Source organism: Homo sapiens, chromosome 13, assembly GCF_000001405.40.
Source record: "Homo sapiens chromosome 13, GRCh38.p14 Primary Assembly".
Lineage (NCBI taxonomy): Eukaryota > Metazoa > Chordata > Mammalia > Primates > Hominidae > Homo > Homo sapiens.
The window spans coordinates 45541190-45569050 of NC_000013.11; the positions used below are offsets into that span (position 1 = coordinate 45541190).

The following is a 27861-nucleotide window of genomic DNA, read 5'->3' on the forward strand; positions in this document are numbered from 1 at the left end:
GAAGCAGGCAGGACAGGCATTGACATGTCACTGAAACGACAACTTGCTTCCGTGCTGTTGGGTCAGGGCTGTCAAGCCTTTTCTGTGCTCAGCCACAGACTCTGTTAGCCCTTCTGCCAAAAATGTTTACTTCAAATCAAGGAGCCACGACAGGTCCCAAATTACAAACCAACTCTCATAAAAGGTCAACAGGTCTTTGGGTTTTTTTTCCCTGGAGCTCCCAAGGTCTCCAACTTCCTAAGGCATTTGGTGGATGCCAGATAAGCCCCGCCTTAAAACCAGAGTTTAGAGAGCATCTTCTTCAGGTACTTGTTGTCCATCAGTGATATACTGACGGCCTCTATGAAGTTTTCCAGATCAGGGGTGGTCGCGTAATTCAGGAGCCTATTCATTTTCCCCAGAAGGACCCGGATCTTCTGGGCTGTTGGGCCGGGTTCTGCCTCCAGGATGGTTTTCTTCTTCATTTCGCTCAGCACCTCTGGGATCACAAACTGTGGGGATTCACAGAGGACTGGGTGAGAATGCATGCTGCCTGAGCACGGTGCCCCAGACCCAGGCCAGATCTCCTGTGGCCAGGACCAAGCGTTCCCTGAGCCTTCACTCGAGAAAGCACATCTGTGTTCTCAGCCCTGCCACCTGCCACCTTCCTGCTGCTTCCAAATACGCTCACTTGGCTGGTGTTGCAGTCAGGTGGACCATGGTGATGTGGGCTGAGGCCACACCCATGCCTGGCCCTAAACCGGAGGGAAAGCAGTTCTGGTGCCCTGGCGCGGCCTGCCCTCCAAAGGCGGTGCTTTCCTGCGGCTGCCGGGCTTCTCCCCATGGGGTCCCGACCATGGGGCCCTGCAAGAGCTGGGATGCCTCACAGTGGCTACCCGTGAGCCCCGCCTCCACCTTGGGCTCCTTGGGAGTGTATCTGGGTTTTGTTGAGATGAAGGCCTGGCCCAGGGAGGCCGCCTCTATGCCAAGTTCTGCCTGGGTCTGCAGCCTGCAGAAGACTGAGGACAGAGTCTCCTGGAGGGGATAAGATAGGACGATACCCGTGTGCTCCATTCGTATGCGTATGAAATGTCTTCACACAATATTGTTATTATTTTAGCCATGTAATAACCTATGTCCATATTATAGAAGACTATGGGCTCAGACCACAGGCTAGTGTCACCCAGGAAGTGGAGAGGCTGGGCATGGAGGCGCCTGTTCTTCCCTGGGCACACTACTGCCCACGTGGGCTGACCCTGTGCCAGGCTCTGTCTCATTTCTTTGGCTCTGATTAGTTACACTGGTGCTGATTTGCTTCATTTGGGACATGCCCTGCACAGGCACAGCTGCCCCTCCCCGGGACTCTAGCTCTCCAAGGCGTCAGGCCCCCTGGTCTCTCTGCCCACAGCAGCCCTTCCTGCAGCCTCGCTGGGCACCTCCTTCCTGTCCCTGCCCTCCTCCCTCCGCCATTCAAAGGCCGGTGCCCCAGGCCCTCATGCTGTCCAGCCCCAGCTGGTCCCGCCACTCGGGCTTGGTAGTGCTGGCCTCCTCTTCACTGGATTGGCTGCTCTGAGAAATCCAGGATAGGCAAGGATGCTGGGATGTCATTATTCACCTGCAAAATAGGAGGCCTTCCCAGGCAAGGGAACCTAGGGGGGTCAGCAGGCCAGGCCTGTGTGGAAATTTCCCAGTTTTAGCAGTGAAAGTCCCATGTCCCAGGAAACTCCTCAGTCCTGAGCAAACCGACGTGTCTGGCCACCCTAAACCTAGCACACTCCCTCCTCTCTTCTCAGATACTCTGCACACAGCTGCATCTATTCTGCTGGAGTCTGCTATTATCAGCCCACTTCTCCATCTGCCTCATTCCCAGGGGACATGTCCATCTGTCTGTCTGCCAAGGCAGTCCTGCTCCCAGGGGCCCCGGGACACCTCTCTGGTGGTGTGGGGGTCTGTAAGTGGAGCCTTCCCTGTGGAATGGGCCGGGGGAGCTGAGCAGGAAGAGAACCTTGCTTAGGCCTCACGGGGGGAGCCAAGGACACCCTCATTCCTCTCCTTAACTCTGGTCCTCAGGAAGGGTCTCAGGAGCCCACCTTCTTCCCCCACTACAGTTGGAGCTCTGGGGGTCCAGCCTCAACATTTTGAGTAGGTGGAACTGTGTCCCCCAAAAGTGATGTCCAAGTCCTAACCCCAGTGCTGGTGAATGTGACCTTATTTGGAAACGGGGTCTCTGTGGATATGATTAAGTTAAGGCTCTCAGGATGAGCTCCTTCTGGATTTAGGGTAGGCCCTAGATCCAACTACTGGTGTCCTTTTAAGAAAAAAGACGAGGTTTGACACAGACACACAGAGAAGAAGGCTGTGTGAAGGTGGAGGCAGACACTGGAGTGATGCCACCACAAGCCAAGAATGCCAGAAGCCATCAGAAGTTGGGAGAGCAAGGAAGTGTCCCCCATTGGAGCCTCTGGAGGATGGTGGCCCCATGGACACCTTGATCTCAGACTTGGCCCAGAACTGTGAGAGAGTAAAATTCTGTTGTTTCAGGACTCCTAGTTTGTGCTGATTTGTTCCAGCAGCCCTAAGAAACAAATACAGCATTGGTCGTCTCCTGCCTGCCTGGGGAGTGTGCCTTGAACTTCCAGGGGATCATCTGTCTAGAGAAGAGTTTGTTTGAGGAGGAGGGAAGAGGACACAACAGCAGGCCTGGGGACACAGACTCCCCCTTGTTTCTGGCCCTGACTTCTGACACGGCCACTGTGAGTGTCAAGTGAGATAATGCAGGGTGACATCTGTGTTTTATTGTCAGGATCATATCCTGAGCTCAAGTGAGCCTCCTGCCTCAGCATCCCAAGTAGCTGGGGCTACAGGTGCGAGAGCCACCATGCCCAGTTAATTTTATTCATTTATTTACTTATTTATTTTTTGAGATAGGGTCTGGCTCTGTCGCCCAGGCTGAGAGTGCAGTGGTGTGATCTCAGCTCACTGCAACCTCCGTCTCCCTGGTTCAAACAATTCTCCTACCTCAGTTTCCCGAGTAGCTGGGATTAAAGGCGTGAGCCACTGGGATCAGCTAAATTTTTTGTATTTTTAGAAGAGACGGGGTTTGACTGTGTTGGCCAGGCTGGTCTCGAACTCCTGGCGCTAAGTGATCCACCTGCTTCGGCCCCTCAAAGTGCTGGGATTACAGGCATAAGCCACCGCAACTGGCCTACACCCAGTTAATTTTAAATTTTTTTTGTGGAGAAGGGGTCTTGCTATGTTGCCCAAGCTGCTCTCAAGTTCCTAGGCTCAAGGGATCCACCTGTCTTGGCCTCCCAAAGCCCTGGGGTTACAGATGCAAGTCATTCTTCCCAGCTAACCTGAGCATTTCAATGTGAATTTCCTCAGATCCTAAGCTCACAGTGCTGGGGAGACACATGAATGTATTTGTGTGTACTTAAACATCAGGTAAACCAAAGTGGCCTTGTTTTTATACGGGTTGGCATATATAGAACAAGCCTGGAGGCCTGTGGCATGGGCCAGTCCAAGCCAGCAGTGGCCTTTGTACAGGTGGGCACCCCACCTGGTGGAGGGTATGGGGAGTTGTGACCTTACCTTGTACCTGGTGCCCAGGTTTAAACAAATCTGCTTCTGTTCATAGGTGAAGCAGAAGATGATCTTATCCTGGCTCCTTATTTGTACCTGGATGTACTCATTGATTTTCAAGGAGATGGGCTGGACAGGGGGTGCGTGGACATGGATGTTCAGATTCCACCAGTTCCAGGCCTTCTGGCGTTTGTCTTTGGGGAAGTAGTAGCCCAGGTTGGAGCTCAGGTTCAACCTGGACCAGGAGAAAGCATGTCAGGCAGCCAGGGCGCTCAGCCCTGGGCCTCTGCTCCTCCTCTTCTCCTTCCCTTTCTTTTCCCCTACTTGGCACAGAAAGACTGACAGGGACTTGATGGGTAGGAGAAGCTCCAACATGGACAACCAACCCAACACCAGGCACTGTCCCCTGCGCTGGCCTCACCATATGGCCCTGTCCTGCCCTCCTTCCCTCTCCTTAGTTCCTGGCACACACAGGCTCTTCCTGCTCACAGCTTTGCCATGCTCTGCCCTCTGCCTGCAAAGTTCCCCTGCCCCAGGTGGCATGGCTGGTGTCTACTTATCCTCTAGGTCTCAGCTTAGACGTCACCTCCTCAGCCTGAGCAGCCTACCTGGTTCCCTACGGGACTCTGTTGCCATGCCTTGTTGGTTTCCTTCATATAATTTACGAATAGATATGGTAAATTCTCATTGTTCACTGTATTATGTTCTAGAAAGCCAGTGATTTAGTGAATACCAAAACAACCCATAGCTCCTAGGGGAAATATGCACACAGACACATCTCACATAGGTTATCATCTTAAATCCTAAAAGCAGCCCATCCTGCTAGATACCATTTTTTGTTTTTGTTTTTGTTTAATTTTTATTTTACAAAAGAGAATAGGAGGCTCAGAAGTGTCATGTGACTTGCCTGAGGCTATCCCAGTAACACTTGCTGGAGCTGGGATTCAAACCCTGTCCCACCAGCCCCAGAGCTGCAGCTTCTTGCACAACACTGCCCTGTGTAGGGACACCTGTGTCCTCTGGTTGCCTCTGCAGGAGAGCTGAGCAGAAGGGCAGAGCGTGGCCTTGTTCAATCTCAGCCAGCAATGTGCACACTGGGCATGTGCAAATTTCCCACTGCTCTGGGCATGTCCCTGGCTCCACGTGAGTTACATATTATATATGTATGTATTTCCCCTAGGAGCAAGGGGTTCAGTATTGGCCAATTCAGTGTTCTCAATGACTTTATAGACTATAACTACCATGAATCATGAGAATTGACTGTATTTGTCCATCATCTGTTCTCTCTCAGCACAAACTTGTGAGGGCAGGGACCTTGTCTGTCTGCTGCGCTGCTGAATTCCTGTTGCCCAGCCTTGTGCAGGGCACCCATATTGATAGGTACAAGGGAATGAAGGGTGGATGGATTTCTCTCTCATCCATTCCTGACCCTATTCTGTGGGGCTTGCCTGCCCTCTGAGTCATCCTCTCTTGACATTTCAAACCCATCGTGTTCCTCTGGCCCTGGCTTCTGCTTTTCAAATCCCAAAGGGCAGTTCCTAGAATCAGTGCCCTTGGGGCAGCAACATCTCTAGGGAATCACATGAAGAAAGGAAGCGATGCTGAGGCCTGGGTTCGTCTGGAGAAGGAGGGCTTGGGGAGCTTGGGTTACTGTCTGCCAGGTCTCGTCTGAGCTGTCCAGGGTGTGGCGATGTACTACATTTTATCTAGAAATATCTATTCACTGTAAACTTTGCCTTTCTTTGAAAACAACCCTTGATATTGTTGCATACGTGACAGGCTTTGACGCCCGTAGCTCCCTACACATTCCTTCCAGGGCACGTGTACTTTTTCCCCAAGACGTAGGCCCCAGGTCTGGGAGGTTTTGGTGCAGAGATATACCTGTCTTGCATCTACCCTAGACTGCACTTCTGTCTGTAAGTTCCCCTAGTAATCACCTTGTACAGACAAACCGGGTTTGTCTGCCTTGTTTGGTTTCCAGCTCCCTCTGCATTTGGGGGTCACTTTGTATATATGAACCTTTCACGGAACACAGGGGCCTCATCGGAGTGAGAAGGTGGCTCAGAGGCCTGCTATGGGAAGCCTTGCTCACCTCCAGTGGGGAGGACTTCCAGTCACTCAATCCCAAATCCTCCTCTTGCTTCCCACTTTCCATTGAACAAAGAGCAAACTTCTAAGGTCCTTTGTCTTGGGACCCCAGCCTGTCCAACCTCATTCCTCCTTCTCTAAGTAAGAGGCTATATACATACTGAAATTATAAAAATAACAAATGAACAAACAAAAACCTGGGCTCTGGAGCCAGACTCTCGGTTCAAAGTCTGGCTGTGCCACTTGCAAACTGTGTGACCTTGGGCCAGTCACTTAACCTCTCTATGCCTCCATTTCCTCAACTGTAAAAAGCAGACAATAATAGTACTTTGTTCAGAGGGCTGAGTAAGAATTAAATGTCTATACACAGCAATAACTGAGAAAACGTTAAAATTTCCTTGTTATCATTGATGGGAGGAGAGCAAAGAGAAGAATCTTCTTACTTCACTCTGTGGGGAGCAGATCCTGCTAGCTTTTAACCTTTTAAATGGCTCCCATCAGAGTTCTCACACTGAGATGGGCAGGCTGGTGGGTTCTCAATTTTAAGGTGGTCTGGAGGAAAAGAATAAAAGCCCCTCACTCAAGCTCTGGCTTAGCTAGCTCTTAACCAATCAGTAACAAAAGACCCAAGAAGCTCCTATTTCAGGTGGCTACGGACTTCCTGGAGCCCTGGATGTGCAGTTAGACTTAAACTAATGCTAAAAGCCACACGCAGGGGTGGAGATTTAAAGTGAGAATGTTACATAAGATGTATGAAGAAGCACGTTGAGCCACCGTGCAAGCACTAGAATAACTGCTCCTGTACATGCCCTGTCATAAACATAACCCTTTCCTATAGGAAGACCCTATAAAACCAACCCACACATTGCACTCAGGGAGTAGCCCATTCTTTTCTTTTCTCAGTGCTGGTTCCCTTGTGTACAAGCTGATATAAACTTTACTTTGCTGCTATGTTTGGTGATCTCTCTTGATTTCTATCCTGGGAGATCCAAAGAACCTAGGATTCCAGTAGCAACACTAGGCCACCCCCCACTCCCTAGTGTTAGAGATCTGCTCCTGCCTGAGGGTGCCCAGCTCTGGGCTAAGTCCCCCTTTGGAAGATGGGATCTGGAACATCTAGAAATGGTCAGAATTGGGAAGTTCCTGCTCAGGGGGTGAAAAGATCCTGAACTGTTGAATGAGTAGAACCCACCCACCAGGGACCCTGAGTTTGGGCAGGTCTCAACACTGTGTGGGACCCTGAACCCAGATAGGAAGCCTGGCCTGAGACCCCTTGGGCTGGGAGTCAAGATGGGTGCTGGATTTTAGTTTCCACACACCTGGCAAAGGACAGCCATGCCTTCCATCTTCCCTGAGGAAATGGAAATCGAAAAGTGACCTAAGAAGTATTCAGCTCTTGAAATGGCTTGGCTATAAGTCCCTCCCAGTGCACAAGGCACCATGGAGAAGTCCTGTTGGTGTGGAGGGAATTCTAGCAGTTAGGGTCGTGCCCTGACCAAATGGCTTTGTATTCACAAGTGACTCTGGGAGGCTTTTCCATAAAATCTTCTCCTAGGTCAATGAGACTGCAGTTTTGCTGATGAATTCCCTCGGGGACTAAGCCCTTCCTCTGTGGGTAACATTTTTCCTCTGGAGCAGCTGCCCCTGGGGGAAGGAATCAGTTTGCGGGTAGGGCAGCCCATTCACAGAGAGAGGGAGAGAGGCTGGCCCTGTGGTTTGACTTTTGCAGGGGTGAGGGGTGCCGTGAAAGGATACACAGGGACCGTCTGTTTCTCATCCAGATGCTCAGGTGCAGAGGGGCCGGGACATGCTGATAGGACTGAGAGGGGGAGCTCTTCCCTCCCTGGCTTGCTTGATGGTCTGTCACCAGATCCTCTCTGAGGTAATTAACTGAATTTCTTGCCCCACTCCTTTGTGCTTTCTGTACCCAAGACCTTGGTCCACTCTTGGACAGCATTTTCTATACACAAGGCATTCAGGGGAGGGCAGATACCTCCAGAACAAAGAAGACAATCAGGAAATGGTGTCTAAAAAGACTCACAGCAGAGAAAATATTGTTAAAAACCAAAGTCTGCAGAATGAAAATCCTTTTTTGGAACTATGTTTGGCTTTGACCAACAAGAAGAAAGTATAAAGTTGATCCAAGATAATATAAGTCCCTTTGGCTGGGCGCGGTGGCTCACACCTGTAATCCCAGCACTTTGGGTGGCTGAGGCGGATGGATCACCTGAGGTCAGGAGTTCGAGATCAACCTGGCCAACATGGTGAAACACCATCTCTACTAAAAATACATAAACTAGCTGGGCTTGGCGGTGCATGCCTGTAATCTCAGCTACTCGAGAGGTTAAGGCAGGAGAATTGCTTGAACCGGGGAGGCAGAGGTTGCAATGAGCCGAGATGACACCATTGCACTCCAGCTTGGGCCGCAGAGCAGACTCCGTCACAAAAAAAAAAAAAAGTATATATAAGTCCCCACACCATGACCACTTAGAAGAGGGAGGGAAGGAAAAAATCCTGAAAAGAGAGTCCTTTACCTCAAAGAGATGGAGAAACATTTTGAAGTGACTGAGTGGTCTTGAATTGGTAAGATGGTTTTCCACCATTACCAGAAATGGGAACTTAAGAACTAACTTCAGTTATAGTGAAATATTTAGAAGTCACGTTTTGGACCATGGACTCTGTATGCATGTGTCTCCAAACCGTCACCAAACCCTCCTCTCTGAGGCACCCAGAACAGGGAGGCACTGGGTCTTCCTAAGCAAATTATCACAAAGGTGACTCTTAAGAAGTATTTAGGAGATGAAACCAATAGAATGTGGTGGTTGTGGAGCCTTGACGGCTATTTCACACATGGAGGAGCAACGGTGCAGGAAGAACATCGTGCCTCCTCTGTGGTCAGGGACCTCATGGACTGGTCCATCATGGTGCTCATTCTCCCATTTCCAACATGTGTAACTCTGAGACAGGGAGGAAGTTCATACAGTCTGGGAGTCACGCTTTTTCCAGCTGCTTCTCCATGGGCAGGAGTGTTAGGGACTCATGACCCAAGCTTACCAGATATCACTATTTTCATCATAGAAGGTAGCATTGCCTGAGTTGTTGATAAGGGCCCGGATCCTCCCTTCTAGACTGTCTTCCAGAATGATGTATGTGAACTTTTTCATTTTCGCATATAAGATGAGCATAGCCAGGTTTCCTGATGGATAACTGGGAGAAGGTTAAGGCACAAGTAGTCAGTCCTTGGGGTCCCCTGGAAAAGGTAGGGCCCTGCAGATGATGCAGGCCTCAGTCAAACCCCACACCTCAGTCAAACCCCTTACCCCATAAAAAATCGTAGACATTTTAGGTGCCAATATATGTCAATACGAGCATCCCTGTGCTTCTGTGGATACTGTATCTGGCCTGTCCCATCAGGAAAGAGAATTTGATAGACATTCTTGTTGGGGTAGAGAATTAATTTTCCATCACCTTGATGCACCTGGGAAGAAAAGACAAGCCTATGAAAAGTGTGAAAAGTACATGGGTACCAACTGTCCTACTGCAGAGCACGGTGTGGACCCCATCTGCTTGCTCTCCGATGCCACGTGCTACCTCATCAACTTGCTGGGGAGCTGCGGGGCTTCAGTTTACTTGTCTATATGATGAGGAGGCTGGACTGGATCTGTGTGTGTGTGTAGATTTTAAACTGTCATTTCAATCACCCCAATGATTATTGATTGCATTAGATTCCCAGGGATGCTTGAACAAAGTCTCACAAACTGGGCATCTTAAAACTACAGAAATTTAATCTCACTATTGTGGAGGCTGGAAGTCTGAAATCAAAGGGTCCCCAGGGTTGGTTCCTTCTAGAGGTTTTGAGGAAGGATCTCTTCCATGCTTTTCTCTTGGCTTTTGATGATAGACGGAGATCCTTGACATTCCTTGGCTTGTGATGCATCACCCCAGTCTCTACCTCTATCTTCATGTGGTGCTCTCTGTATCTTCACGTGGCCATCCTCTTAGGAGGACCCCATATTGGATTGGGGCACACCCTACTTCAAGATGACCTCATCTTAACTCATTACATCTGCAAAGACTATTTCCAGATAAGGTCACATTCTGAAGCACTGGGGGTTAGAACTCCGACATGTCTCTTGAGGGAACACAATTCAACCCATAACATTGGTATACTCAAATTTTTTATTTCTTCTTCAATCAGTTTTTGCAAACTGTTTTTCTAGAAAATTGTTCATTTTAGGTAAACATTCAAATTTATTGTCATAAAAATTTTAAGTTTATAGTGTTTTAAAGAGATCTCTGCTGTCTCTGTAGTTACATCGCTGTTTTCATTCTCTTTATTATTTATACCTTCTGAATCAACCTTGTCAGAAAGTTTGCCTATTTTATTAATCTTTTCAAAGGACCAAGTTTTGGTTTGTTTATTCCATTATTTCTTTGTTTTATAGTTTATCAATTTCTGCTTATATCATTATCGTTTATATCCTCTACTTTCTGTGGGTTTTCTATGTTATTCTATTTTATTTTTCTAATTCCTGGAATTGAATACTAAACTCTTCTGTTTTTGTCTTTCTTCTTCTTCAAGATCTTCCTCCTACTCCTCCTTCACATCCTCCTCCTCCTTTATCAGAGAAAGCATTTAAAAGAAAGCCCCCTGGCACCCAGTATTCCCAGGCAGTCTTCCATCCAAGTAGTAACCAGGCTCAGCTCTGCTTAACTTCTGAGATTAGACAAGATTGAAAGCATTCAGGGTGATATGGCTGTAGATTTTTAAAATATGTGTTTAAAGCTGTTACGGTTTGAATGTGTCCCCCCAAAAACATGTGTTGGAAATTGAATCCCCAATGCAATAGTGTTGGGAGATGGAGCCTAATGGGAGGTATTTAGGTCATGGGGACTCTAACCTCATCAGTAGATTAATAATAATTATGAAAGGGCTTGAGGCTACTAGTTTGATCTCTTGCTCTCGTTCTCTCTCTTGCCCTCATTTTGCTTTTCCACCATGGGATGATGAAACAAGAACCCCCTTGCCACATGTGACCCCTCCAGCTTGGACTTTCCAGCCTTTGGAACCAATAAATTTCTGTTCATTGTAAACTACCCAGTCTGTGATTCCCTGTTACAGCAGCACAAAACAGACTCAGAAAAAAGCTGTAACATTCCCCTCAATTTACTGTTTAGCTGTTTCCCATGAGTGTAGTTATTTGCCTTTCATTTTACTCCATTCTAAATATTTTCAGATTTGACACACAAGTTATTTACAAGGGTGTTCTTAAATTTGCCAATGTATAAAGGACTTTTGGTTATGTTATTACTATTCTTGATTAAAATGCACTGGGGCAAGAGAACATAGCCTATATAATATCCCTTCTTTGGTGTTTGCTGAGATTTGTTTTCTGACCTAGCATGTGATCAATTATAATAGATGTTTTGCATGTGCTTGGAAAGGGTGTGTGTCCTCTAATTGTCCCCTGTCCCCATGTTGGTGGATTGTCAAGACCCGTTGTTCCCCTGCTTCCTCAGCACACACACCTGGCTCAGAAGCTCACTCTTCTGGTTTTGTAGTTTTCTCTTTATTTCTGGTGTTGGCTATTTCCCTTACTTTCTTACATTCTCTGTTCTGCATGGAAAAGGATGCTTCTTATGTTTTATTTCAATTCCCAGGTGTTTGCAGCAGGAAGGCTTTGCAGACCATCTAGTATCCCACATTAACTTAACTAGAAGAAGTCAGATTAGTGATTTTCAAGCCATTTTTATTTTGATTTTTTTTGAAGAAACAATAGTTTTTCTAACCAAGTGACCCAGCTACTGAATCTTAAGGCCTCAAAAAATATTGCCTCTTATTGTCATTGAACAATAAGGCCTTCTATTTTGATATTCCAGGGAAATAGAGATTTTGTGTCTCCAGTAGTTTCCATTTGTCAAACAGTCATGAGTGATGGTTTAGCATGGTGGCTACTGCTTTCAGGAGATTCTGTTGGATGAGTCCTCGTTTCTAGTGCAATAGCTATTGGACATTTTTTATTAAAAGTTCATCCATCAGGACTTCTCTATCATGGTTGGCCATGGAGTCCTGTCTGGCTGCTGAATGATATTCCTGAAATCTCATGGATATTCTTTGCATGATTTAAAAATATTTCCGTAAGCAATGTTCTGAGCGGATGGTCTCTTCAGGTTTTAGTTCTCTTGTTGTGAAGTCTTTAACTCAGTAGAAAAAAGCAGTTTTCTGGAAATTTCTTGTAGTTGCAAGACATTCCTTAAACTGTTTTATCTGATCAGATTCTGGTATTTGTGCAGCCATATTCTTTTAGTATGTTTATTAGTCACCGTTTTTGACACATGAGTTTCCTTTCTGTTCTGGAAAAGCAGTTGTCCAATCTTTGCTTGAATGTCTCCAGTGAGGCCTGATTTGTTAGTTAAGTGCTGATTCTCCCTTCTGACACCGGTATGAAGCTGGGGACCGCATTGCCAGTTAAATCTAGGGGTGGAGGGTTGGGGCCACGGTGGGCGCTGTGGTCACTGGATGGGCTCAAATTATTATTGTAAACTGAAGAATTCTTTGCCCAAAGAAAGCTTATAGCAGAATGCAACATTTAAGGTGATAAGAGACAGAGATGCAGTTTTGTTTGAGAGAAAGCTGTCTGTTGGTTTCCACCTAGACATCAGGTAGAAAGCACTCCTCAAGGTGACAATGATCATATAACCAACATACAGTGGCTGTTTCCTTATGCCGAGCACTGCACTAAATACTTTAATTCCACAGCATACTGACCTTACAAAATATGCACTATCATTAATTCCTGTTTAAGAGAGGCTAAATGACTTACACAAAGTTATCTAGTTAGAAGAGAGCCAGGCTCCAGCAATCTGACCCCCAAGCTTCAGATTTATCCCTGATGCTGCCTCTAACCATTAAGCTCCCAGCCACCTGCGACATTTAGTATACAAAGCACTGCTTTTTTCTTTAAACCTAAAAAAAGCCCTTTAAAATTTTTTCTTTCTTTAATTGACAATTAAAAATTGTATATATTTATGTTGTACAACATGATGTTTTGATGTATGTATACATTGTGATTGGCTAAGTCAAGCTATTTAACATATGCATTACCTCACATATGTTTTGTTATGGTGAGAAAACTTAAAATCTACTCTCTTAGCAATTTTCAGGTATGCAATGTATTGATATATATAATATCAATATATAATATTAGCTTTAGTCCCCATGATGTACAATAGACCTCTTAAACTTATTCCTCCTGTCTAGCGGAAATTTTGTATCCTTTGACCAACACCTCCCCGTTTCCCTACTCCTCAGCTCCTGGCCACTCTGTTCTATGAGTTTGGTGTTTTTACGTTCCACACATAAGTGATGTCATAAAGTATTTGACTTTCTGTGCCTGGCTTCTTTCACTTAGCATAATCCTCTCCAGGTTCATCCATGTTCTCACAAATGATAGGATTTCCCTCTTTTTTAAGGCTGAGTAGTATTCCATTGTGTATATAGACCACGTTTTCCTTTTTCATCCATCTGTTGATAGAGACTTGGTTTAAAAAGTGCTTTGTATTTTACCCACAGTTGGTTTGCCTGGTGACCTGTTGGAAATGTCCAGATGTTTTTCATGGGTAGCGGGTATTTGTCACTTAGGTCTTATTTTCAAAAGCCACCCAAAAGCCAGAATTTCTTGAGATGCTTTCTGTTCGTCGAATTCACTTGTCATGTAATGAAATTTTCCTGATGACAAGAACCCCATGGACAAAGCAAAATCTCTTACACAGAGCTGGAGTTGGCACATGTTCTCTCACTGGGAAATATATAACAAACAGCATGTCTAAGAGCCTGAAGCTCGTCAGCATTTGCTTGGGGACAGAATAGGAGGCAAGAGCTTAAAGTGCAGAGTAAAGAGACTGTGTCTCTGGCCTGTCCTGCAGGCGGGACCCCGAGCTGTGCCAGAGCTGTTCTGGGAGCTCACCATGGCTGCTGTGAGGCCCTGGGTCCTGGCCTGGAGGGGTTGGATTTGGCCTGAACACCAGCACACACAGAAGGTGTGCACTCAGCAAACAGCTTGGGATTTATTGCCTGTTTGTAAAACAAACAAACAAAACTAAATGTGCCACTCCTTGCCACACCTCATGGGTGCTTGGTGCAGCCCAACATGAATGGTAGGTGAGAGAGGATCCTCTGCTTAGAGATCTTGGTGAGAATCTTCCTCTTGGCTGCAGGGAGGACATTTTAGATGTTAGTGGGGAGGGGGCGCCATGGTGGGTAGATGGTGCCAGAGCTGGCAAAGATCTGAGGCAGGATAGGGCCTGGAGTGTGGAAGAACATGGAGTTATATAGCCTAATCGGAGCAATAAGCCAAGTAAGGTTTCTTTTATCTATTAGAAGAAGTGAGGCCAGGGATAGGAGAAAGCTGAAGACTTTATATGAGGGCTTCCAACGCCCTTACCATTGTCTGCTACAACCTGGAGAGCCCCCTTCTCCTGTCTATAGGAGTTCTGACTGGTCCCACAGACTTCCCTTCTCAATGCAGGCCCAAGTGTTGAAGGAATACTGAACTTCTCATTCCTTGTCTGGAGGTCAGAAAAGTCCATACCTTGGTTAACCGTGTTGATTTCCTATGCTCCTTCACTTTTGCCACAATTGAGGCCACACTCATGATGTAAAGCTGTCCTATTGCTTTTCCTCTTAGTGCAAGCTGTTCCATTTCCCAGCTCTCTTGCCGCTAGCTGGGGTCATGGGGTCCATTCTGGTCAATGGAATTTAAGCCTGGACCCTGGCTTCACTTCTTGTCCATACAACTGGACATAGACAACTGCAAGATGGTAGAGACCTATGATGAAAAGACCCAGATCCCCGAGATGCACTTTGAAAGGGAGCCACTCAAAAGAAATACAAGGCTCAAAATAGACATGACATGAGAAAGAAATAGACATCTGTTCATTAAGCCACTTGGCTTTGGGAAGCATTTGCTTCAGAAGCTGATGAGCATTGTCCAGATGAATACAGCTTTGTGTCCTTGAGGCAGTGGCTCTATTTGACTTGGGCACCCAAGCTAATTTCCTATTTCTTTCCCACTTGCCTATGGGTGTCCGTGAGGCAAAGGCCTCAGGGCCTTTGCACTTGTTGGCTCTATCTAGAATGCCCTTTCCCCAGGAGTCTCCATGGCTCACGCCCTCATTTCATACATGCCTAGGCTCAAATGGTACTTGTCCCAAATGGCCTTCCCTGATTACTCTATAGGCATGAGAGCATCTTCTCTCTCAGCCCAGCTGGAGGGCCCCCTCTGCTGCTGTTTCCTCGTGGCTCCTAAAAATAGCCAACATAGCACCAAATAGTACTTCTGTGTATTGACTCTCTCCTCAACTGGAACATATAAGCTCCATGGGAGAGAAGGCTGTGTCTCATTTGCCTCTGTATCTCCAGCACTTAGCAGAGTGCCTAGGGCACCGTAGGTTCTCCACATGTATTTACTGAAGACATGAAGACTATCACATCTTTTAAATTCCCACCTTAATGCCTCTTTTTTGAGCTTTAGACCTGATTATTAGCTCACTCTCAATTACTCTAATTTTTTTTCCCATAGGTTTTTGGGGAACAGGTGGTATTTGGTTACACAAGTAAGCTCTTCAGTGGTTATTTGTGAGATTTGGGTGTACCCATCACCGAAGCAGTAATCACTGAACCCAATTTGTAGTCTTTTATCCATCACCCCCTTCCTACCCTTTCCCCTTGAATCCCCAAAGTCTATTGTGTCATTCTTATTCCTTTGCATCCTCATAGTTTAGCTCCCACTTATGAGTGAGAACGTATGATGCTTGGTTTTCCATTCCTGAGTTACTTCACTTAGAATAATAGTCTCCAATCCCAACCAGGTTGCTGCAAATACCATTAATTCGTTCCTTTTTATGGCTGAGTAGTATTCCATCATATATATATGTGTGTGTATATATATATACACACACATACACACACACCACAGTTTCTTTATCCGCTCATTTGTTGAAGGGCATTTGGGTTGGTTCTACATTTTTGCGATTGTGAATTGTGCTGCTATGAACATGTGGGTGCAAGTATATCCATTTTGTATAATGACTTCTTTTCCTCTGGGTAAATACTCAGTAGTGGGATTGCTGGATCAAATGGTAGTTCTACTTTTAGTTCTTTAAGGAATCTCCACACTGTTTTCCATAGTGGTTGTACTAGTTTACATTCCCCCCAGCAGTGTAGAAGTGTTCTCTGTTCACCGCATCCACACCAACATCTATTATTTTTTGATTTTTTGATTATGGCCCATTCTTGCAGGAGTAAGGTGGTATGGCATTGTGGTTTTGATTTGCATTTCCCTGATCACTAGTGATGTTGAGCATTTTTTCACGTTTGTTGGTCATTTGCATTTCTTTTGAGAATTGTCTATTCATGTCCTTGGCCCATTTTTTGATGGGATTTTTTTTTCTTGCTAATTTGTTTGAGTTTGTTGTAGATTCTGGATATTAGTCCTTTGTCAGATGTATAGATTGTGAAGATTTTCTCCTACTCTGTGGGTTGTCCTTTTACTCTGCTGACTGTTCCTTTTGCTGCACAAAAGCTCTTTAGTTTAATTAAGTCCCAGCTATTTATCTTGGTTTTTATTGCCTTTGCTTTTGGGTTTTTGGTCATGAAATCCTTGCCTAAGCCAATGTCTAGAAAAGTTTTTCCAATGTTGTCTTTTAGAATTTTTATAGTTTCAGGTCTTAGATTTAAGTCCTTGATCTATCTTGAGTTTATTTCTGTATAAGGTGAGAGATGAGGATCCAGTTTCATTCTCCTACATGTTGCTTGCCAATTATCCCAGCACCATTTGTTGAATAAGATGTCCTTTCTCCACTTTATGTTTTTGTTTGCTTTGTCAAAGATCAGTTGGCTATAGGTATTTGGGTTTATTGCTGGGTTCTCTATTCTGTTCCATTGGTCTATGTGCCTATTTTTATACCAGTACCATGCTGTTTTGGTGACTATGGCCTCATAGTATAGTTTGAAATCAGGTAATGTGATGCCTCCAGATTTGTTCTTTTTGCTTAGTCTTGCTTTGGCTATGTGGGCTCTTTTTTCATTCCATGTGAATTTTAGGATTTTTTTTTTTCTAGTTCTGTGAAGAATGATGGTGGTATTTTGATGGGAATTGCATTGAATTTCTAGATTGCTTTTGGCACTATGGTCATTTTCACAATATTGATTCTACCCATCCATGAGCATGGGATGTGTTTCCATTTGTTTGTGTTGTCTATCATTTCTTTCAGCAGTGTTTTGTGGTTTTCCTTGTAGAGATCTTTTACCTCCTTGGTCAGATATATTCCTATGTATTTTATTTTATTTTTTGCAGCTATTGTAAAAAGAGTTGAGATCTTGATTTGATTCTCAGCTTGGTCACTGTTGGTGTAGAGGAGAGCTACTGATTTGTGTACACTAATTTTGTATCTGGAAACTTTGCTGGATTAATTTATCAGTTCTAGGAGCTTTCTGGAGGAGTCTTTAGGGTTTTCTAGGCATACAATCGTATCATCAGCAAACAGTGACAGTTTGGCTTCCTCTTCACCAATTTGGATGCCCTTTCTTTCTCTTGTCTGATTGCTTTGGCTAGGCCTTCCAGTACTATGTTGAGGAGAAGTGGTGAGAGTGGGCATCCTTGTCTTGTTCCAGTTCTCAGAGGGAATGCTTTCAACCTTTCCCCATTCAGTATTATGTTGGCTGTGGATTTGTCATAGATGGCTTTTACTACATTGAGGTATGTCCCTGGTATGCCAATTTTGCTGAGAGTTTTAATTATAAAGGGATTCTGGATTTTGTTGAGTGCTTTTTCTGTGTCTATTGAGATGATCATGTGATTTTTGTTTTTAATTCGTTTATGTTGTGAATCACATTTATTGACTTGGATATGGTAAACCATTCCTGCATCCCTGGTATGAAACCCACTTGATTGTGGTGGATTGTCTTTTTGATATGTTATTGGATTCGGTTAGTTAGTATTTTGTTAAGGATTTTTACATCTATGTTCACCAGGGATATTGGTGTGTAGTTTTCTCTTTTCAGTATGTCCTTTCCTGGTTTTGGTATTAGGGTGACACTGGCTTCACAGAATGATTAAGGGAGGATTCCCTCTTTGTTTCCCTGTGGAATAGTGTCAATAGGATTGGTACCAATTCTTCTTTGAATGTCTGGTAGAATTTTTTTTGTTAGTAATTTTTAAAATTACCATTTCAATCTCACTGCTTGTTATTGGTCTGTTCAGGGTATCTAATTCTTCCTGATTTAAGCTAGGAGGATTGTATATTGCCAGGAATTTGTCTGTCTCCTCTAGGTCTTCTAGTTTATGCATGTAAAAGTGTTCATAGTAGCCTTGAATGATCTTCTGTATTTCTGTGGTGTCAGTTGTAATATCTCCCGTTTTGTTTCTAATTGAATTTATTTGGATTTTCTCTCTTCTTTTCTTGGTTAATCTTGCTGAGGGTCTATCAATTTTATTTATCTTTTCAAAGAACCAACTTTTTGTTTCATTTTTCTTTCTTTTTGTTTCAATTTCATTTAGTTCTGCTCTGATCTTGGTTATTTCTTTTCTTCTGCTTGGTTTGAATTTGATTAGTTCTTGTTTCTCTAGTTCCTTGAGGTGTGACCTTAGATTGTCTATTTGTGCTCTTTCAGACTTTTTGATGTAGGCATTTAGGGCCACTAACTTTCCTCTTAGCTACCTTTGCTGTATCCCAGAGGTTTCGTTAGGTTGTGTCACTATTGTCATTCAGTTCTAAAAATTTTTAAATTTCCATCATGATTTCATTGTTGACCCAATAATCATTCAGGAGCAGGTTATTTAATTTCCATATATTTGCATGGTTTTGAGTATTCCTTTTGGAGTTGATTTCCAGTTTTATTCCACTGTGGTCTGAGAGAGTGCTTATATAATTTCAATTTTCTTAAATTTATTGGGACTTGTTTTGTGGCTTATCATATGGTCTGTCTTGGAGAAAGTTCCATGCACTGATGAATAGAAAGTATATTCTGCAGTGTTGGGTAGAATGTTCTGTAAATATCTGTTAAGTCCATTTGTTCCAAGGTATAGTTTAAATCCATTGTTTCTTTGTTGACTTCTTGTCTTGATGACCTGTCTAGTGCTGTCAGTGGAGTATTGTGTTGGTGTCTATCTCATTTCTTAGGTCCAGTAGTAATTGTTTGATAAATTTGGGAGCTCCAATGTTAGGTGCATATATATTTAGGATTGTGATATTTTCCTGTTGGACAAGGCCTTTTATCATTATATAATCTTCCTCTTTGTCTTTCTAAACTGCTATTGCTTTAAAGTTTGTTTTGTCTGACATAAGAATAGCTACTCCTTCTCGCTTTTGGTGTTCATTTGCATGGAATGAATGACTCTAATATTTTGAGGCTAGTTTTCACTCAGATCTTTGTATAATAGTATCAGTCTTTATGAATACTACCATGAGATAGATTTTTTATAGGCTTCATTTTTTAGAGCAGGTCATGGAAAAATTGAGTGGAAAGTACAGTTTCCCATATATGCACAGCCTCCCCAACCATCAACACCCCCCCACCTGAGAGTGGTACATTTGTTATAATTGGTGAACCTACACTGACAAACCATTATCACCCACAGCCCAGAGTTTACATTAGGGTTCTCTCTTGATGTTGCACATTCTGTGGATTTGGACGAATGTACAATGACATGTATCCAACATTGTGGAATCATATGGAAGAGTTTAACTGCCCTAAAACTCCTGTGTTTCACCTTTTTATCCTTTCTTGCCCCCACGCCCTAGCAACTGCTGATCTTTTTACTGTCTCCATAGCTTTGTCTTTTCCAGAATGTCATATAGTAGGTATCATAATATGTAACCTTTTCAGATTGGTTTCTTTCACTTGGTAATATGTGTTTAAGTTTCCTCCATGACTTTTCATGGCTTAATTGCTTATTTCTTTTTAATGCAGAATAATATTTAATTGTATGAATGTACCATAGCTTATTTATCCATTCACTGTGTGATTGATTTTTGATATGGATTCTAATTTGTTAGGGGGATGGATCTATATATATCTTTTTCTTTTTAGAGGCGGGGTCTTGCTATGTTGCCTAGGCTACTAGAGTACAGTGGCTATTTACAGGCGTGATCATAGCACACTGCAGCCTCGAACTCCTGGGCTCAAGTGATCCTCCCTCCTCACCCTCCTAAGCAGCTGGGACTACAGATGCATGCCGCAGTGTCTGGCTGGGGCCTATATAATATACATTTCCTTTATTCCACTCTCAAACCCATCCAATTGCCTAATAGAGACCCTGCAGGCAGAAGACTCAATAAATCCTAGTAAAAATCCTAGTCAGTCTGCCAGCAACCCACACACTCAGGTGTACCTCTGATATCTTGGATGCATTTTTGTGTTTACATTGTGTGTTGTTCCTTACAGCTCTCTGGTGGTGTATGCACACCTCACCAGAGCCAAAAAAAATCCTGTGCAAAGTAAAAAACAGCAATGTACTGTCCCTCTTACCACTGTCTTCTTCTGTATCCATTCCTTATCTCGTTCTAATTTCTTCCTATGATGAACAACACGTTGAGGCTTTTGGATTTCTTCTGTCTCAGGCTTCTCAGGTGTTGGTTTGCTCATTAAATGAAATGTGAAACTGGTCATCTCTGTTAACTTTTGAGCTGCCATTCAATTCAACGATTGCATTGAATAAGATTTTGGTGGGAAAGAGAAAGGAAACTTAGATCTGTCTCTCTCAAGGTGCCAAAGGGAGTTTGAGGGTTTGGGAGATCTGCCATTTTTCCCCAGTGAGGAAGGCTGTCGGGTAGTGGGAAGATTAAGGCCTTTGAAGAGAGAAGTGTTGGGGCTGACATTCCAGCTCACTCTGTTTGGTCACACATTCACTCAACATGTACTTATCAAGTGCCTAGTGCGTGTCAGCCCAGTGCTGGATGCCTGATATGACAGTGATGGTCAACCTGTACAGATGTGTGGGTATGAGTGGGTGATGCAATGAAAATGCCAACTACAACGTAATGAGAGGAATGCTCACACAGTGAATGGTGTGGCTGCTAATTGAAAAAACAGGCGAAAGTCAGGGAGTCATCAAAAAAAGGTAAAATGGAAGTGTATATTAACATGTCATTTAAAAGGTAAGACAATGTACAGGTCTGATGATTGGGCTCTGTGATCATTTTTGCTCAAATCACACCAATGACTGATTGACTGATTGACTGAGACAGAATCTTGCTCTGTCGCCCAGGCTAGAATGCAGTGGCATGACCCTGGCTCACTGCAACCTCTGCCTCCTGGGTTCAAGCAATTCTTGTGCCTCAGCTGGGATTACAGGCGTGTGCCACCACACCTGGCTAATGTAGAGATGAGGTTTTGCCATGTTGGCCAGGCTTGTCTCAAACTCCTGGCCTGAAAGGATTATCCCGTCTCAGCTGCCCAAAGTGTTGGGATTATGGGCATGAGGCACCACACCTGGCTGAGTTTTGTTTTTTAAAGCATTCAACTTGGTTTTCATTTCATAGCAACAAGTTTCTTTTTATATTCATTTTGTCCATTTTTATGACAATTGAATTTTGGAACTAAACTGGTAAGGACAACTGAAAAACAAGCCTAGTGGCTTTTGATAAGTGCTTAACAGTGGGAGCTGAGTGGCTGGAGCCATGGTGAGGGGCTTCTAGCTGTGGTATCAGCCAACATGCTCTTGGTGGGGGTGAGGAGCCCCAGCTCACTACTTAAGGGGATGTCAGTTAGGAGAGCGCCGTGCATCCCATGATTGAGGTCAATACAGGCTTCCATGAGAGCTCATGGGAGGGAACTTAACCGGGCTTTGAAGCTGAGAAGATTTCCACCTCCAATGGAAGGTAAATCTGTAGCATGCAAAGGAGGAGTCCCAGCATAAGCACTGTGTGGTTGGAGGCTGGAGTGGGGATGGGTTAGAGGTGACACAGGATTCAGGAGAGGCAGGCAGGGCCTGCAGCAGCTATTCTTTAAGAGTTAGGTCAGGGGCATGAATTGGTACTGGGGGTAAGTGTACTCTATTGAGAGGGAATCAGGCAGAGACAAGGCTCAGCGAGAAAAAGTACCATGATTGATTAGTGCTATGTCTCCCATGAATATGGCTATCATTTTCACGTTAATTGGGTCCAGTCACCTGGAAGATACTTCGTGTTGTAGTATGAGTTTTTGAATGAAGATAGCTTAGTCCCTTCACTGAAGCCTTCCATGATTAGATCCATGAAGCTGGTAACTTCCATGATTTGCAAATCTTAATAGCTGGACACCAAATGCCTTTGGTCTCTTGGTAAAGGAGCTATTTGTTTTCCAATTTTTGCATTAATATTCCTTTCCTGGAGTACCCCACTCCCCCAAATCTGTGTTAGATCCCTTACTGTGTGGTCCCACAGTGTCCCCTTCCCATCACAGGGCCTAACCATTCTATATGGTAATTCCCTACTTTCTTATCTATCCTTCCAAGAATAGACCAATGAAACCTGAGAAGCTCACTCTTTCTGGAGCATTCTCTTTCAAAGGAGCTCTGATCTGAGAACCAGAAAACACGGCTGCCCTGGGGAGCATCCTTATTGGGAAGTAAGACAGTCCACACCACTGAAATGCCAAGGTGACTCGCTCTGTGTTCAGATCCCCCACCTGCCCCTGCCACCAAGAAAGAAACTCACTGGGGCCCTAGACTGTGCCTGCCATGCTCGGTATTTCATCCCTGGCAGCCAGGACCACATCAGCCCTGTAGGCACTGAAGTGAGTGAATGAGCCCTTCCACCTTCTTTACAGTACATGCAGAAGGGGAGAGGCGGTGGGATGCAGACAGGAGAGCCAGCACGTGGTGGAAAATGGTGGAGTGGTGCCTACCTTCACGTCTCCTCTTAATCCGTAAGATTGTTTCCTTGAACTTTTCATAATTTTTCTTCAGCCTAAAAGGAAAGTGGATCATCTTTAGAAGCCAAGACTAAGTTCACGCATACATGCCATCACACACAGTGCAGACAGTACTGGAGCCTGCAGAGTCTCTTTCGCAGGTGGAAATGGGGCCAATGGCTTTGCTTTCTAGGCCAGCTTTCTTCGAGTCAATGCCCAGGAGTAAAGGGATGGTGCATGATATCCATTTAGTGCTTCCCTCATATGGTCTGACCCACAACCAGGGCATACAGCTGAACCCTAAACCCTTCGAAACGAATTCAACTAGGGTAATCTTGGGGGCAGCTGACAGAGCAGGGAGGTCCAAATGCAAGTATGGCCCTATTATTAACTCACACAGATGGATTTGATTTTCTGCAGCTTGTCTATATCCCAGTGAAACCCAGAACCACCTGAAACCCCTTTGCATTTAGTAGGACAATTTCAAATAGCCTTACTCAAAAGGACTTATCATGAAAGCCACACGAGTCACAGCTCTTCAACATGATCAAGCCCTTTTCTCCCTCTCATGTTAACACACAGAGTGAGTCATCCTGGCGTTTCAGTGGTGTGGACTGTTTTCCTTCCAAATAAGTGTGCTCTCCAGGGCAGCTGTGTTTTCTAGTTCTCAGATCAGAGCCCCTTTGAAAGGGAATGTGCCAGAAAGAGTAAGCTTCCCAGGCTTAATTGGATCTGAAAAGGAGGCCTTTGCCATTGCAGATTTTAAATCCTTAGATCAGATTCCTTGAAGAGGGCATATTAATTTAGCCCAGAGTAACTCCAGGAAGCAAACATCCTTTGCTGGAAAGGGCTGCACTGTTACCTAGCACAGAGCAATGGTTCCCTTATTCGTACCCTAGAAGCAATAGGGAAATTTGAGAATGAGTCCATGGCCCATTTGTACCAAATGTTATTCACTTATAATGCAAGGACTTTTAATGGAATTGAAGCAGTTACCTAGCCTATTGGCACCTGTGAAAAAATAAGGACCAAGGAATGGGTGGAGTGGGGGCCTATCCTTTATGCTCAGAGCAGGATACCAAACACAGATAACAGTTAAACTCCAGTGAGGGGATCTAGCCAGAGGCACCCAAGGCCCTTTTGGGAAGACTGGCTGTTCGTCTCTTGTTTTTTGCCCACCTTTGCAAGCGAGTGGAATCCCCATCAGGCGGCTCTTCAATACCAGAGACTGGGGTGCACTCTACTGTATCCCTAGAGCCTAAATTAGCACATAGTAGGTGCACATGAAATATCTGTTGAATGCAATTAGGTTAGAATCAGCCTTTGATACTGTCTAAATGGGAAGAGAGGGAGAAAATGGCACAGAGGCAGTGGGATAACGTATAGAGATATTATTTGGTGTTTTTTTTTTGCTGATCCAAAAGCTTGGGAGTTCTTTGTGTTTTGCCTTCCCATTTCCCAGAGAAGCCCTGGGGGTCTCTTGCCCCATGCCTCTACTGAGTCCACAGTGGAAGTCAATCTCTTCCTGACTTTTGTGAACACCTGAACTTGCCCACGTGATTAGGTAGGGCACCTTGTTTCACACAGCCTCTCCCTGGTGCCACTGCTGGAGAGTCTGCAACAGACCCATGGGGGCACAAACTCATACCTGGCTCTCCAGGTTTCTGAGAGTGGATAAAGGAAAGAGCAGGCTTCCATTCTGAGAGCATGCCTGCACCACAGGCTGGGTGTATGTATGATATAGTTTGACTGTCTTGCCACCCAAATCTTATCTTGAATTCCCATGTGTGGTGAGAGGAACCTGGTGGGAGGTAACTGAACCATGGGGGCATCTTTTCCATGCTGTTCTTGTGATAGTGAAAAAGTCTCATGAGATCTGAATGTTATTGAATTTCTCTGTACAAGCTCTCTTCTCTTGTCTGCCACCATGTGAGATGTGCTTTTCACCTTCCACCATGATTCTGAGGCCTCCCCAGCCATGTGGAACTGTAAGTCCACTAAATCTCTTTCTTTTGTAAATTGCCCAGTCTTGGGCATGTCTTTATCAGCAGTGTGAAAACAGACTAATACAGTAAATTTGTACCAGTAGAGTGGGGTGCTGCTCAAAGATACCTGAAAATGCGGAAGTGACTTTGGAACTAGGTAACAGGCAGGAGTTGGAACAGTTTGGAGGCCTCAGAAGAAGACAGGAAAATACGGGAAAGTTTGGAACTTCCTAGAGACTTGTTGAATGGCTTTGCCCAAAATGCTGACAAAAAAGTCCAGGCTGAGGTGGTCTCAGATGGAAATGAGGAACTTGTTGGGAACTGGAGCAAAGGTGAGCCTTTTATGTTCTAGCAAAGAGACTGGCAGCATTTTTGCCCCTGCCCTAGAGATTTGTGAAACTTTGAACTTGAGGGAGATGATTTAGTGTAGCTGGTGGAAGAAATTTCTAAGCAGCAAAGCATTCAAGAGGTGACTTGGGTGCTGTTAAAGGCATTCAGTTTACTAAGGGAAGCAGAGCATAAAATATCAGAAAACTTGCAGCCTGACAATGCAATAGAAAAGAAAATCCTATTTTCTGAGAAGAAAATCAAGCCAGCTGCAGAAATTTGCATAAGTAACGAGGAGCTGAATGTTAATCCCCAAGACAATGGGGAGAATGTCTCCAGGGTGTCAGAGGTCTTCACAGCAGCCCCTCCCATCACAGGCCTGAAGGCCTAGGAGGAAGAAATGGTTTCATGGGCCAGGCCCAGGGTCCCTGTGTTGTGTGCGGCCTAGGGGACTTGGTGCCTTGCATACCAGCTGCTCCAGCCATAGCTGAAAGGGGCCAACATAGAGCTTGGGCCTTGGCTTCAGAGGGTGTAAACCCCAAGCCTTGGCAGCTACCACATGATGTTGAGCCTGTGAGTGCACAGAAGTCAAGAATTGGGGTTTGGGAACCTCTGCCTAGATTTCAGAGGATGTATGGAAACATCTGGATGCCTAGGCAGAAGTTTGCTGTAGGGGCGGGGTCCTCATGGAGAATCTCTGCTAGTGCAGTGTGGATGGGAAATGTGGGGTCAGATCCCTCACACAGAGTCCCTACTGGGGCACCACCTAATGGAGCTATGAGAAGAGGGCCACCGTCCTCCAGACCCCAGAATGGTGGATCCACTGACAGCTTGCACTGTACATTTGGAAAAGCCTTAGACACTCAATGCCAGCTCATGAAAGCATCTGGGAGGGAGGCTATACCCTGCAAAGCCACAGGGGCAGAGCTGCCCAAGACCATGGGAACGCACCTCTTGCATTAGCATGACCTGGATGTGAGACATGGAGTTAAAGAAGATTATTTTGGAACTTTAGGGTTTAATGACTGTCCTATTGGATTTTGGACTTTCATGGGGCCTGTAGCCCCTTCGTTTTGGCCAATTTCTCTCAGTTAGAACAGCTGTATTCATCCAATGCCTGTACGCCCACTGTATCTAGGAAGTAACTAACTTGCTTTTGATTTTACAGGCTCATAGGCAGAAGGGACTTGCCTTGTCTCAGATGAGACTTCGGACTGTAAACTTTTGAATTAATGCTGAAATGAGTTAAGACTTTGGGGGACTGTTGGGAAGGCATGATTGGTTTTGAAATGTGAGGATATGAGACTGAGAGGGGCTGGTGGTGGGATGATGTGGTTTGGCTGTGTTCCCACCCAAATCTCATCTTGAATTCCCACGTGTTGTGAGAGGGACCCAGTGGGAGGTAATTGAATCATGGGGGCAGGTCTTTCCAGTTCTGTTCTCGTAATAGTGAGTAAGTCTCATGAGATCTGATGGTTATTATAAGGAGGAGTTTCCCTGAAAAAGCTGTCTTCACTTGTCTACCACCAAGTAAGATGTGCCTTTCACCTTCTGCCATGATTGTGAGGCCTCCTCAGTCACATGGAACTGTAAGTCCATTAAATATCTTTCTTTTGTAAATTGCCCAGTCTTGGGTTTTTATCAGCAGCATGAAAATGAACTAATACAGTGTACAAATGGCTGGAACAGTTTGTGACCTGGGGCCTTGCCAGCTAGAAAGACCTGATGCCAGTGACACAGGTCTACAATAACCTTACAGGGGCCCTGGCCATGACCCCAGGTCAGTGAAGCTCAAGGCTCTCCCTCCTTCAGGATGCATGGAAAAGCATTAGCTCACCTAGCGTGAAGCCAGGGAATTTGGTGGGCAGATGCCCCAGGTCTTGATTCCCCAGTGTCTTCTCCTTAAGTGCCAGGGGTCTGAACTTTGCTCCCTAGACTTTTGTACAAGTTCATGGTCCCTGCAAGCCTTTTCTTACCCTGAATTTCCAGCCTCTGTCACCATCTGCCTTGATCTTATCCTGTACCTCCCATGCTTGCAATATCCTTGCTCTTGAGTTTGATTTTGGTCTGGCAGCTGGATCATTCTGCCCATCTGACCCCTGGATCTCACCCTTTCCCTGTGCTTGGCCTGTTCCTGCTCCTTGACTCAGGGAACCTGTCTGGTCCTGACTTGCTCTTTTTTGTTGATGGCTCAGTTTACACTTTCCCTGCTGCCACCTCTGGCATACCCAAATCCACTGACCAATCACTTGGCCTCACCAGTTACTTACATAATTACCAGTTTCCATCTGTTTTCACTTTCCAGTAGCTTAGTTAGGGGAATGTCAAAATCCTCTTCCAGTTCATTGTGAGCAGCCATTTCTTTGATTATTGTTTTAAATACTGTCTGATAGGAGCTGTTCAAAAACTACAAAAGGATCAAAGAATGAAATATTCAGAAAATGGAAATTAATGATTTGTTAGTTAATCACTTTTCTGACTCTCAAAGGTACTGTGTGACACTTCAACATATTATTCTAAAAATACAAAAATGGGAACCAGGGGCAGGGGGAGGGAGAGCAACAGAAAGGATAGCTAATGGATGCTGGGCTTAATACCTAGGTGATGGGCTGATCTGTGCAGCAAACCACCATGGCACACGTTTACCTGTGTAACAAACTTGCACATCCTGTACCCTGAATTTAAAAGTTGAAGATAAAAAAACAAAAGGAAAAAGAAAACGGGACCCATAAGATGGTTAGCAAGAATTCTTTTAAAGAGTATTTCCATTATCATCATATCCTCTTCTTGTTCCTCAATTTCCTTAAAATTTTTTTTTAAACATCAACATGCCAAAAAATCTTTGGAGAACATACAATTATCTTCTTTTTTCAAATGTGGAGATGGCTATGGAATGTAAAAATGCTTCCATGCTTTAAGAGCGTAACAAGTTTTCTGCATTCTACAAATGGCCAAGCTCCCAATGGTGATTTATTTATTCAATGTGAAGAATGAGTCTTCAGAAAA

General features: G+C 44.7%; 1 protein-coding gene and 2 pseudogenes across 3 annotated transcripts in view, besides 1 other annotated feature; all 3 read right to left on the reverse strand.

Annotated features, from left to right (window-relative positions):
- Positions 1-104: 104 nt before the first annotated feature.
- The window catches only part of ERICH6B (glutamate rich 6B), a 74446-nt gene continuing 46689 nt past the window's right edge, over positions 105-27861 (reverse strand). For 2 of the 3 annotated variants that reach the window (NM_182542.3, XM_017020418.2), the window contains 7 exons: positions 27126-27262; positions 22538-22599; positions 20180-20337; positions 9042-9127; positions 8704-8856; positions 3571-3796; positions 105-491 (listed from right to left, as the gene is read on the reverse strand). In NM_182542.3, the coding sequence (NP_872348.2) occupies positions 273-491; positions 3571-3796; positions 8704-8856; positions 9042-9127; positions 20180-20337; positions 22538-22599; positions 27126-27262 (1041 nt within the window). In that variant the 3' untranslated portion in view covers positions 105-272. Of the gene's footprint in view, positions 492-3570; positions 3797-8703; positions 8857-8969; positions 9128-20179; positions 20338-22537; positions 22600-27125; positions 27263-27861 lie in introns of all 3 variants that reach the window. The other variant, XM_011534965.3, reaches the window with a different exon arrangement.
- Positions 213-1064: an enhancer, noted in NCBI's record as "H3K4me1 hESC enhancer chr13:46115537-46116388 (GRCh37/hg19 assembly coordinates)". NCBI's record gives its function as "activates a minimal SCP1, AML or CMV promoter by ChIP-STARR-seq in naive H9 embryonic stem cells {active_cell/tissue: H9 hESC(naive)}" and the evidence as "EXISTENCE:reporter gene assay evidence [ECO:0000049][PMID:30033119]".
- RNA5SP27 (RNA, 5S ribosomal pseudogene 27) lies at positions 10296-10414 on the reverse strand (annotated as a pseudogene).
- Positions 11415-12174, reverse strand: TIMM9P3 (TIMM9 pseudogene 3; annotated as a pseudogene).